Raw genomic sequence first — 13,384 nt, 5'->3', positions numbered from 1 at the left:
GAAAAATCAGTGGTGTTTCTATATACCAACATTCAAATAGCAGAAAAAGAAAGTAAGAAAGCAATTGCAGGTACAGTAGCTACAAAAAGTAAAATACCTAGGGAAAAATTTAACCAAGGAAATGAAATGTCTCTGCAAGGAAAACTATAAAACACTGATGTAAGAAATTGCAGCAGGCATATGCAAAAATAAAAACACATTGCATTTTCATGAATTGGGAGAATTAATATGGTAAAAATGGCCATACTACAAAAAGCAGTATACTCATTCAGTGCATTCCCTATCAAAGTACCAGTGTCATTCATCACAGAAATAGAAAAAACAGTCCTAAAATTTGCCTAGAACCACACAATACCCTGGATAGCCAAAGCAAGAAGAACAAAGCTTGAGACATCACACTACCGGACTCCAAAATATACTGCAAAACCATAGTAACCAAATAGCATAGTACTGTCATAAAAACAGATACACAGACCAATGGAACAGAATATAGAACCCAGAAAAATAAATCTCATCTTTATAGCCGACTCATTTTCAACAAAGGCACCAAGAACATTCACTGGGAAAAGGACAGTCTCTTCAATAAGCAGACACATCACGTCTCAAAAGAAGACATATAGATGGCCAACAGGTATATGAAAAAATACTGAACATCAGGGAAATGCAAATCAAAACCATAATGAGATATTATATCAACCTAGCTAGAATGGCTGTTATCAAAAAGACAAAACATAGGCCGGGCACGGTGGCTCACGCCTGTAATCCCAGCACTTTGGGAGGCTCAGGTGGGCGGATCACCTGAGGTCAGGAGTTCGAGACCAGCCTCAACATGGAGAAACCCTGTCTCTACTAAAAATACAAAATTAGCCGAGCATGGTGGTGCATGCCTGTAATCCCAGCTACTCGGGAGGCTGAGGTAGGAGAATTGCTTGAACCTGGGAGGCGGAGGTTGTGGTGAGCCGAGATCATGCCATTGCACTCCAGCCTGGGCAACAAGAGCAAAACTCTGTCTCAAAACAAAACAAAACAAAAAAAGACAAAACATAAAAAAATGCTAGTGGGATTAAGAGAAAAGGGAAACTCTTACACATTGTAGGTGGGAATGTAAATTAGTAAACCCATTAAGGAGGCCAGGCATGGTGGTGCACGCCTGTAATTCCAACACTTTGGGAGGCCGAGGTGGGCAGATGGCTTGAGCTCAGGAGTTCAAGACCAGCCTGGGCAATCTGGTGAAACCTCATCTCTACAAAAAATACAAAAATTAGCTGAGGTGGTGGTGTGTGCCTGTAGTCCCTGCTACTTGGGAGGCTGAGGTGGGAGAATCACTTGATCCCAGGGGGTCAAGGCTGCAGCAAGCCAAGATTGCACCAGTGCACTGCAGCCTGAACGACAGAGCGAGACCCTGTCTCAAAAATAAAATAAAAGTATAGCCACTAAGGAAAAACAGTATGGAAGTTGCTCAAAAACTAAAAATAGAGCTCTCATATTATGCAGCAATCCTACCACTTGGTATATATCCAGAAAAAAGGAAATCAGTATGTTGAAGATCTATCTGCACTCCCATGTTTATTGCAATACTATTCACAATAACCAAGAAGGGGAATCTACCTATGTGTCCATCAGCAGATGAAAGCATAAAGAAAATGTGGTATATACACACAATAGAATACTCTTTTGCAGTAACAAAGAATGAAATTCTGTTATTCATGGCAACATGGATGAGTTAGCTTGGGGACATTATGTTAAGTAAAATAAGCCAGGCATAAAAAGATAAATACCGCATGTTCTCACCCATATGTGGAAGCTAAAAAAGTTGATCTCATAGAAGTAGAGTAGAATAGTGGTTACTAGAGGCAGGGAAGTGTGGAGGGGAAGGGGAGTAGGTATAGCCAAAGGTTAGTTAACGGATACAGGATACAAAGGTACAGCTAGCTAGGATGAATAAGTTCTAGTATTCTATAGCAGGACTGGGTGAGTATAATTTACAAACATTTATTGTATATTTTCAAATAGCCGAAAGAGTGGACTTTTAATGTTTTCAACACAAAGAAATGATAAATGTTTAAGGTGTTAGATATGCTAATTACTGTTCTTTGATCATATCACATCATATATGTGTGTGGAAATACACTGTATCTTATAAATATGTGCAGTTACTATCTGTAAACTGAGAGTAATAATAAAAACCCCCAACACACAGGTTTCTTTTGTGCTTTTGTCAGAAATTAAAAAAGGAAAAGTGCTATAGGAAAATTAATCTAGCAAACTTGCTTAGAGTGGATTGGAAGATATGAACCAGTGTTGAGGAGGGAGACTTGTTAGGGTTGGCATTTAATTCCAAAACGAATTGTATGCACTGTAGACAAGAGATGCTGATAGGAATATAAATGCGTAAATGCATGAGACTTTCAGAAAGTCATGATAGTCTTGGTGACTGTAGATAGGGGGAGATATGATGACTCTGAAGTTTGGCAGTAAAGTGACAGGAGATGTTAATGATGCATCTGAAATAGGAATTCTCCACCATGAGCTAGTTTTTCAGGGAAGGCAATCACTTTGGTTTTGACATGTTAAATGTGTGACATGGGGCATCTGCCAGACAGTTGGGAATTGTTGACTCTTTGCTGTATTCTGCTTCTCTGGATATGCCCAACTTTCCAGGGGATGATAGGTGCAGGGGGCACACAGTTCAGAGAGCAGGCTTCCTTGATTGCCAAGAGCACATACAGGATCTCAGGAAAGTGAGACTCTGTCCTCAGTGCAGGATTCCTGTTTTCCGTTGGTGTCTTTCAAAGGGTGGGGTGGCCTTCTGAGATAATGTAGATATGTAACAGCATGGCCTGTCACTGGCAATGACTTGACCACTGTCTGTGAGAGATGCACAGGACAGAGTACCCAAAATCTCTCTTGAGAGCTTTAACACTTCATACAAAACTCAGATCCTTCCCTTTCATTCAAAACATGAGATACTTGTCCCTTCCGGATGTCTCCTCAGACCTTCCCGCAAAGTGAGCTAACTAGACCATGTGTGAGCTTCTCCTGGTTATGGTTTACTTTGTATTTTTTTCTCATTACGTTATTATCATAGGGTGGGAGTTCCGATTGTCAAGACAGATGCGAATGTAGCTTTGAGATGGTTAATTCTGCTTGGTAAGATTTCTTTTGTATTTGCCTTTCTTTATTCTTGGGGTTAAAAGAATACAATCTCATCTACAGTTATCTTGCTTTCATCTCTCCTTGTTCTGTTACCCAGTTCAAGTTTAGACTCCTGCCTCAGATGTCTGTTCTGGCTGATTGACATAGTTGCTTCTGAATGGACTAAATTACTGACATCTTTTGCTTTTCCTGTGTAATAGTTTCTATTTGGTGATTCCTTCTCACACAACGGAACTGTGAGGTAGCCTGAAGCCTAGGGGAGATGTCAGGTCTGGACACCTGAAATTATCATCATAGAGCTATGGAATTATTGATGTAGAGCCTTATATTTAGTCATTTTGAGGTTTTCATGTGCCGCTTCATGTGACTTCTGTCATTTTAATCTTACAAAAACCCGTGAAGTAAGCATCTTGTTTGCCTACAGTGATTGTTTGAATTAGGTTCAAAATTAATTGTACAAAAGCCTGGGAGTACAAATGTACTTTGTAGTGAGTACAAAAGGCTGGAAAAGAAAGGCAGAATTACTGGCCCAAATCACATGGTAATGTAGCAAAGGCTGGTTCCCAGCACTGGTAGTAATAACAGCTAATTCTTACTGAATATTTCCTATGTGCTGGGCACTGTTTTAAGCAATTTATATATATTGACTGACTTAGGGTACATTTGCCACCGCACCGGTGTGTTGATTGGATGATAGATATTGCTTCCAAGCTCTTGCATTTTGAAAGGCAGAGAATGTGAAATAAGAAGAACAGCGGGTGAAAAACTAATCCCTGGGCCTTCACCTATCACTAAAGGGGAGTGGGAGAAGTACAACAGGCCAAGGAAATGGAGCAGAATGGCAGCCGTGGCAGAACCGCAGCTGGGAGAGCATGTTGCCTGTGAGCCAGTGAGAGAGAGGGATTCTAAAAGAAATCCTTTACCCTGCCTTTCCTTTAGTTGGCCAGACTGTGCTCTGCTCCTGGGCCTGGGCCTGGAGTTCTGATCCTGCTTCCCTGCCCTCTAGCACATGGATGTGCTCTGCTCCTGGGCCTGGGCCTGGAGTTCCGATCCTGCTTCCCTGCCCTCTAGCCCACCGATACCCTCATTCATCCCTACAGAGAGGTGGAATGATACATTTCACTTTACTTGATACTTGAGACGAAACTAGACTGTTTGAAGAAAATCTTATACTGAAAGAAAGAAAAAATAAATAAAAAGAAACGGCTTAGAGTTACAAACCTAATTTAACCAAAGGCTAGCTGGAAATCAACTCGATAAGTACAGTTTATCGAGCCCTTCTGGCTGGTTCCTGTTGCCCACTTAGATGCCATTTGGATGCTTAGTGACTTTTCTACTTTTAGGGAGATTCAGTTACTCCCAGAACTTGCTCTTGCTTTTTCTTTGGAGGTATATTATATAAACCCCCTCAGGTCAGCCCCTTAAGCCCATCCCTCTGTTTGCTTCCTGCTCCCATGCTGACCCCGCACCCTGTGATTCTGATTCCATCCCAGGCTCAGTACATGGCGAAAGCAGTTTCTCAGCTCACCATCAAAGTGCTTCTTGCCCAGTACATGCAACCGTGTTTTATGCCATCTTGACCTTGCAATTTGATGCTGGTACTTTCTGGGGTTCTCAGTGACATGGGGATACAATAGTGCACAAAACAGATACATATCACTGACTTCTTGGACATTTATTTCATTTGCATCAGTTGCACTAATATTTTGATTACATTCTGAATCATATTATCCAGTTGTCAGTATAAGAATTTACTTAGGGGCTGGGCACGGTTGCTCACATCTGTAATCCCAGCACTGTGGGAGGCTGAAGTGGATGGATTATTTGAGGCCGGAAGTTTGAGACCAGCCTGGCCAACATGGTGAAAACTCGTCTCTACTAAAAATACAAAAGTTAGCCATACGTGGTGGTATATGCCTGTAATCCCAGCTACTTGGGAGGCTGAGGTGTGAGAATCGCTTGAACCTGAGAGGCAGAGATTGCAGTGAGCCAAGATGACGCCACGGCACTCCAGCCTGGATGACAGAGTGAGGCCCTGTCTCAAAAAAAAAAAAAAAAGAAAATTAGGATAATATTGGAAATAACTGGAAATACCCAGACTACTCAACAATGACTAAATTGTATTACTGATGATACATCGTGTGTTCATTAAAAATGTTTATGGCCAGGTGCGGTGGCTCACGCCTGTAATCCCAGCACTTTGGGAGGCTGAGGCAGGCAGATCATGAGGTCAGGAGATCGAGACCATCCTGGCTAACATGGTGAAACTCCGTCTTTACTAAAAATACAAAAAATTAGCTGGGTGTGGTGGCGGGCGCCTGTAGTCCCAGCTACTCGGGAGGCTGAGGCAGGAGAATGGCATGAACCCAGGAGGCAGAGCTTGCATTGAGCCAAGATAGCACCACTGCACTCCAGCCTGGGCAACAGAGCGAGACTCTGTCTCAAAAAAAAAAAAAAGTTTATATGGTTTATATTAATAGAAAATAAAGTTTGTGTGTGTGTGTGTGTGATTGTAAGTAAGTGACAGCAAACAATAGGGAAAGAAAGATTAAAATTCTCCAACTGTGCTAGAAAAAAAGTGCAAATAATGTAAAAGAGTGACTTTGTTCTCTTCGGCTCTTCTTTATGTTCACATGTGGGCTGCCAACTAAATGCCCCTTTTGTAAACTTTGGTCTGAGGGTTGCTTCTTATTCTTTTAACTGTGTGTTGGGTTAACTTCCTCTATATGCTTCAGGTTGCCTAAACTTTCTCTATATTCTTCTTTTGTAAAAAGGAATGAATACTCAATATATCCCAAAGTTAGGGTGAGGATGTTTTTCTCAAAAAGATACCAGAAGAGAGGGAGTGGTCTTACATTAAGTTCTTAAAGTGTTCTGTATTAGGGATCCTCTTTTGATTATTTTGATTAACAAAGAATTCTTTGGAGAAAACATATGAGCTTGAAATAACTATAGATAATGTCAGTTTGGAATGCTTATGGAGATCACTAAAACAGGGTAAAAAGAGGGAGAAAACAAGTTGAACACACATTTAGTAATTCTTTCTGGGGAAGTGCTCTCGGAGGTGCAGGTGTTGGATGTTGGATAAACCAGCTTCTTAAAGATGACTTTTCTAGGTCATACATGCAGTAAGTGATGTTCAGATCACTGCTAGTGAATGGATACTGTAGGTTAGGATAGAACTTCCATCACACATTTAAAAAATTGCTGTATCTCAAATAACTTAGAACTGAAGATGCAAGATAAGGAGACTGTAGTCGTAGCAAAGATCCTTATGACAAATTACACATGAAAATCTTGAACAAAATCATTTCCTGAAGTGGAAGCGAACGAAAACGCATTTATTTATTGTTTTAATGTATTATGTGATTTTATATATGCAAATTAACATAATAAAATATTATAAGGAGCCATTTGATTATTTCATCCATCCTAAAAATTTAAATATTCAATATGGCCAATAACTTTTTGCCCCATTGGAATTTATAGAGTACCTAACAGTTACTTAGAGTTGCCTTATATTTAGGTATACCTGATATCTACCTGGTAGGGAGGTTTTTAAGGATTAAATGAAACAATTAATTGGGTGTGTGTGATGTAGCAAGCATTATCCATAGTAAGCTCTGGGTTAACAGGGACTGACAGAGACCTGCTGTGAGATCTGCTTCCTGCTCTTTTTTGATCTTTCCTTTCTATCACAGGCTGGGTTAGGACACAGAAACTGGTAGAGAGTTTCTTAGAAAGTGACAGGGGAGGCCTGAGAGGTGAAAAGCATCTTGCTTGGTCCCTGGAAGACAGGAATCTCAAAATGTTCATTGTGACTTTCTGCCACTCGACCCCTTTTCTCTTTGTTCCCCCTCCCCCACCCTTACCCCCAGTGCAGTTTGCAGCACAGGGAACACACATCACTTCTGTGCTGAGAGGGATCACACTCAGTAACTCAAGACAATGAGCTTAGCTACTTTGTTCATCTGTGAAGTAGCTCTAGGACAATTATAGAGGTTTGCAGGTGACTTGTAATTACCTCTTTATTACATGTAATGTTTCCAGCATACAAACCTTTTATACTGTATGTTTCCCAACGAGCTTACCGGGAGGGTCGTATGTATACCCTTTATAAGTTAAATTTCACTTTTGAGGTTTTGTTTTCTTTTCAAAACAGCGTATTAGAGTACAGAGCTCTGGCGTGACTATCATTATTGACAGGTTTTGGCTTTTCACCTCTCTCCTCTCGGCTCACTTGGATTTATTTCACATAATATCTTCTTGGAATTCTGATTTTCTCTCTAGATTAAGCTTGAACATTTAGATGTACCTGGTAATGGAGACAACAGACTAAAATACAAAAACTCAATTTTTATAAGCCTTAAATTGGCATTGAATTTTTTTTTCAAGATCTAAGAACCAGACTGAAAAAGTATTAAATTGAGCTAGGAAAACTGATTTCTTGTTTACTGGAACTTGTTCAATGAAGGAAAAGTTACTTTACATAAGGAATTATTGTTACCAGTTCCTCCAGTAATCTTATTGTCTCCTACGTGGATCCCGTGCTTTAAAAAAAGGTAACAATAAAACAGAGGATGTTATGATAATAAAACTCGATATCATGCAGTCAGTCTTGATTTGTGAAAAAGTTGTATTTCTAAAAATCTTATATCAGGTTGGGCAATAATAGCTTGCTTGCCTGTTTATATTACTTTATTTGAAATTTTTTAGAAATAACACATTATATCAAATAAAAATTTATTACCTATAGTTTGTCATTTCCAAACTAAACTTTGGAAAGCACTAGTGACTTTCGAGTCTGGAAATACATTGTGCATTTGAAATTTTGTTCCTGATAATTAGTGAGTAATCATTTGTTCCTCCCAAAATTTTGTTCTAAAATTTGTACATGGGGTTTTTAAAAATTCAGGTATGGGGAGACATCCAGACATGGAAATGACTGTTATGAAAGAGGTTTATGCTTACAGATCCTTAGACACAGGAGGCTCAGTACATTGCACGGGATCACAGGGAAACACCAGGTTGGGATGGGAGCCGGAGATGGGAGATGGGGGAGCATGGCCCAGAGCCTTTATTGTTTGTTTGTTTGTTTGTTTTTTCAGAAGGGAACGGGCAAGACAGGGTAGCCAAGCTGGGTAAGTTTAAGATTGGCTAGTTTGAATAATTTTGGCAGGCTTTGGGCTATAGGGATGGCCCCCAGTTGTCCAGGACCTGGGCCTGGGTGATTTAGGATGGGGGAATATTACCTGCTGTGGCTCTGGATTGGTTGGTTTGTATATCACAGGCACGCTCGCACAGGGGTGTTTTCTGTCTCTAGGAATTAGCCAGCCCAGGGAGGAACAGTCTCTCCACAGTCAAGGCCCCAAATACGGGAGTATCAAGAACACAGATAATAAGAGAATATAATCAATACAAACAAAACAAAACAATTGAGGAGTTGAAGATGGCACTGCTAAGCAGGTGCTGTTTTTGTGCATGTTTTTAAGAGATGGTGCTGTAAAAGACTAGAGAACATGTAAGTAATTTATTTCTGAGCTTTACGTTTTGAAATGGTGTTTTAGGGGGTTAGTCAAAGTAAGTGTTAACTAAAGCCTAATGCGATATGCTATAGACATTTGGAAAACTTGAATTCAGTAACCTGACCCGTGTAAATTTCTCCCCCATGTGAAGATGGTGGGTGGGGGTGGGAGGTCTGTGGTGGGTAAGGGGTGCTTTCAGCTTTGCCCCGCTAGCTTATGGGATGCTCACAATTCCTCAGGGCTGCTTCACTTCCAGCTCCATCTTCTGAATTCCAGGCATAAGGAAGAGGGAGAACAAAAGGGCGCTTACCACTCTTTCCTCCCCTTGGAAGGAGCGGTCTTAGAAGGCTTGCCCAACAAATCCAGCTTACATCTCATAGGGAATTGGTGATTCACGGACTGGTTAGTGCTTGTATGAAGCCAGCAAAGGTTGTCCTTTCTGCTGTTGAAACCAACTCAAAAAATAGCTCTTCTTTGAGAGGATTTTGAAAAGGGAAGAAGTGGGTAGTTTTATAAAAAATGTAATTCTACTAAAAGTCATAGTGATTATAGTATCAGTAATAAAACCTTGAGCTTTTATTCTATACTGGTTGCTACTCTGAGTGCTTTATGTATTTCTATGTACAGTTCATTTAGTCCTCAGAAAACCCCATTATTATTCCCGTTTTTTTTTTTCAGATGGAAATTGAGGCTCACAGAGGTTAAATAACTTGCTCAAGGTAACATAATTGGAAAGTGACGGAATCCAGATTAATAGCCGAGATTGTTTGCTTTAACCACGTGGTTATACTGATCTGTAATTTAAACATCTCTAGCTCAGAGATAAGGAAGCTAAAGCTGGAAAGTTTTAAGGCATTGGCCCAAGGTCATGCCGGTAGTCGGCACTGAGCTTCTGTTTCTGGGTGTATTTCCACTACCCTGGTGCTGTCTCTAGGTGCACACTCTCATCTATATCCTCTTATATTTGGGCCAGGCTTCTTGAGAGGTGGATATTTTTGGCTTGCGATGGTTCTGAATCCTGAAAATTATATTCTTTCTTTAGACTTCTTTTACTTGGCAAGGAATCCCCCTGGAGGCACTTTAGCTTAGGGGTAGGGAGGGTGGACTTTAGAGGCACATTGCCTGTGTTTGAATCGTGGTTGTGCCAGCGTTAGCCGTGTGATCTTGGACAAGTCACACACCTCTCTTGAGTTTTAGTAGTTTCATCTATAAAATGGGTTAATCATAGTAGCCATCCCACAGGGCTGCTGGTAGAAATAGATGAATTAATACAATAAAACTGCTTAGTATAGTGCCTGGCACATAAGTAAATACTTTCTATCCTGCTTATATTATTACTTATCAGAAACGTTCTCCAAATTAAACTGAACACATTTTTCAGCACCCTGTTTGGCACTCAGTAAATGTATATGGAATGAATAAAAGCAACTGTGAAGTGGTTTGTATTGTCAGCCCATGCATCCTCATACTGGTTGGAAATATTAGGGTTACAGAAGATTGGAATCTTCATGTTATTTTTAATATTTGTATTAATAGCCATTATCACTATTAAGTATCAATAATATTACAATATCTTACTCATCTTCTGCTACTTTCCACCTCACTTCACTTTTCTCATGTATAAACCTATTAGTTTTTACATTTGGTGCTTTTATACTGAGACTGTGTTGAAAGACATTGTATACATACAAGGTACTGTAAGTGATATAAAAGTTTATGGCTTCATATTTAAAAATGGATGTTACTGGTTTTGAGTCTTCTCATGTCACATTTCCAAGTAACAGCAATCACCCATTAAATATTAATTTAATCACAGGAACAAGATACAATCGTCACTAAAATGACTTTAAATGGTAGCATCACTAAGCAGTGAGATAAGGACTGGCAAAGCAGGATTTGTGTCATTCTGTGGCAGCTTTTAAACAATGTGTTTGCATTTCCCTTGTCCGTTAAAATAATACAAGAATTAAACCCTTTTAAAGAGAACCTACCCATCTCTTTCCCATGTGTCATTCTTGCATCAGAGAAAATGCTGCATAATACTAAGATGACAGCCCCACCTCTGATGTCACCCAGGATGGTACAATCCTCTCCAAGCCTTTGCTGGGCTTCCTGCTGCTGCACTGGGGGACATGGTTACATTAAAGCTAACTCCCGTCATCTCAATTATCTCCTTGGAAGTAGTTTTCACAAATATAAAAACGCCCTACGGTGGCTGTTTTCGGTAAGCTACCAAGGTAGAGAGCGGCAGAGGCAGACAGGGAGAGCAAACGGGAGAACAGGCTGCTTCCGCCTTTGTGAGAGGGACTGAGGCAGCAGCTCCTCTCGGCTCGGGTTCCAAGTGCTCAAAGTGCTTCCATTTCCATCACCGTGTGCAGTGCAGGGCAAAAGGGGCTGCCAGGAAATCTGAAACTAATTTGCTTCCAGTTGACTAGAACAGCATATTTTGAATTAGCTTGCTTCTTTTTAAGCTAACTTTTCTCAAGCGTTAAACTGATGAACTGGGCATTTTCTATGATCAATGGGTAACTGCTGGAGCTACAGTAATCTCTGTGAGTAACCTCTATTTGTAGGTCTATGCAGGCAAATATATTTTTATATATCTATTTCTTTTAAATGCTGCTGTGAAAGTATCCGTCTGTATTATTGACTGCTTTTGCTTACTAGTCTTGTCTTTCGAGCGTCCCAGTAGGAGACCCCTGGGGCTAGACCAGGTTCTGCTGAATCCAGACATAGAGGAGAGCATTTTGCATTTATTCGGGGATGCCCGCGCCAACCATTCTTTAATTCCCAGTCATCAGAGAGATGCCGGCTGCCCTCTGAATGCCTATGCCCAGCACCTCACCTGGCTTTACCTGGAATGTTGATTTCAGCATGTGACATTGAGTTTTTCAAAATTTTTATTTTTATATAGAAAGCAAAATATTATTCTTACCTGTAATCTTACTTCTTTTCTTTTTTTTTTCCCCACAAGCTTTCCTGGGAACACACAATTCTGTCACCCTATGTCTGCTCCCTGTTTGTGATATATTATATAGACAGAAAGAGAGAAAACAGGCTACCCCTCCAGTTTTAGAAAGACATAATGTTGTAGTGCTGGATGGGAATAGGGGAGGAGTTTCTCTTAAAGAGCTCAAACTGCTTTCCATCTGTGTGCCTGAAGTACAGCTTAGTATCTGAATAGCCTTGAAGGGAACAAGGTTAGCTCAAAGGTAGCACCAAAAATGTTCTGGAAACACGCTAGTTGAGGCTGAGATAGAATCTTTACTGGAAGTTTGTAACAGGTATCTCAGTTTACACACAAGGATGTGTTTTTCCTGTTTGTTAAAAGTGTCGCTTTTATAGTAATTCAAGATTTATTTCTCTCTCACCATGGAAACTGACTTTCAACTCTCTGCAAAATTTGCATTTCTAGATATACTTGGGACAATTGTTTATGTCAGATTGTAGCCTGAATCCTTAGTGAAACTGTGGGTCTCTTATTGAGCATGAAAACTACTGGCTGCAAATGTGGATCAGCTGAGTCCTGAGTCTGCTACACACTGGAGGCTGAGTGAGGTGGCGTGTTTACCACTGCACCTAACATCTGTCTTCATAGACAGAAGTTTAAAGAAGTCCACAGCTGTAGTTGATCATCACTGTGAAGAACTCCAGCTGCTTGGCATTCATGATTATTTTTTAAAAGAATTGTATGGTTTTTTGAAACATCAAATTCTTAAATGTCCCAATATTTCCTACATATATACGAAACAGTTTATATTAATCTTACCATATATGTGTTAATTTTAGCAGAAGAAAGCTTGCTGTGAGCGAGACTGTGGGGTTATTTAAAAGTTTAGTTTAAACTTTTTTTTGTCTTTTAAAAATAAAATTAAAACTAAAGAGTCAGTAAAGAGAGAAATTTTACAATTGGATTTTTAAAAGTATGGATTCCCCAACAGAAAGGATCGTAGAAAGTGGACAGAATGGATGAAATCAGAGGGGCATCCCTGATCAGAAGGTAAAAGGCTGAAAGGAGAAGCACAAGATGTGGATATAAAAAACCAGAAGTTATGACAAAGAGAGGCAGACAAGAGTGGAGAACCCCACTGGTTGAAAAAGGAAACCAGCTTTGAAAAACGGCAATTTTAAAGATGAGCTCAAATTCAGCTCTTACAGCTTAGTGTTTCTTCTCTGTAACAGGTAACAGTGCTCTGCACAGTTGCAGAGACTACGGTTTAAAATTAATGGGCTGTTCCCTGTCTCACTCAAGCTTCCCTTTGGTATGCTGTATGCGGTGCCACTCCTTAGCTCACAGAGCTGCCTCTGAAATTGACTGAATGGTAAACTAGTATCATTTCTCTAGGGATTAGAGCTGAATAAGAAAAATTGGGTTCTGAATCATTAGTATGTGAAATTTAGTTTGCCGTAAGCACAGCTGTAACTATTAATCACTTGGGGAAAGAGTGTCCAATTAATGGAATATTTTCTGTTCGTGTGCACACGTTAGAAGCTTGTGTAGTGGTTGGCAGGTCTTTTCCTGTTTTTTTTTATTTTTTTCCTAACACATAAACAACTTAAATATCTGTGCCTTTAGCATTATCAGTGTCCAGGCAATAGCCAGCATCCTGGATTACATACCGTAGTTTTCTTCAAAATGTGACTTTTCTTAGGGTGAAGAGAGTGTCTTAAAATATAATGTATTTAGATTACTCATTTAGTAA

The 13,384-nt window shown here is 40.0% G+C and overlaps 1 protein-coding gene and 1 long non-coding RNA gene across 21 annotated transcripts in view; one reads left to right on the top strand and one right to left on the bottom strand.

The window, feature by feature from the left end:
- Positions 1-13,384, top strand: part of PSD3 (pleckstrin and Sec7 domain containing 3) — a 557,503-nt gene that overhangs the window by 186,965 nt on the left and 357,154 nt on the right. The window contains exon 3 of one of the 20 annotated variants that reach the window (NM_001412874.1): positions 9,360-9,400. The exons of 17 other annotated variants lie outside the window; for them this stretch is intronic. Coding sequence is in view for 1 of the 3 variants with exons in the window: in NM_001362819.2 (NP_001349748.1) it covers positions 11,203-11,233 (31 nt within the window). In the remaining 2 variants the exon portion in view is untranslated. Of the gene's footprint in view, positions 1-9,359; positions 9,401-10,783; positions 11,234-13,384 lie in introns of those variants that run through there. 2 more of the 20 variants (NM_001412883.1, NM_001362819.2) reach the window with 2 other exon arrangements.
- Positions 4,813-6,537, bottom strand: LOC124901895 (uncharacterized). Its single transcript, XR_007060837.1, has 2 exons — positions 6,186-6,537; positions 4,813-5,191 (listed from the first exon to the last, which is right to left on the bottom strand). It is a non-coding gene; the product is annotated as an uncharacterized LOC124901895 (long non-coding RNA).

This window comes from Homo sapiens, chromosome 8 (genome assembly GCF_000001405.40).
Source record: "Homo sapiens chromosome 8, GRCh38.p14 Primary Assembly".
Taxonomy (NCBI): domain Eukaryota; kingdom Metazoa; phylum Chordata; class Mammalia; order Primates; family Hominidae; genus Homo; species Homo sapiens.
The sequence above is the reverse complement of the archived record's forward strand: the minus strand, read 5'-3'. Positions and strand labels throughout refer to the sequence as shown.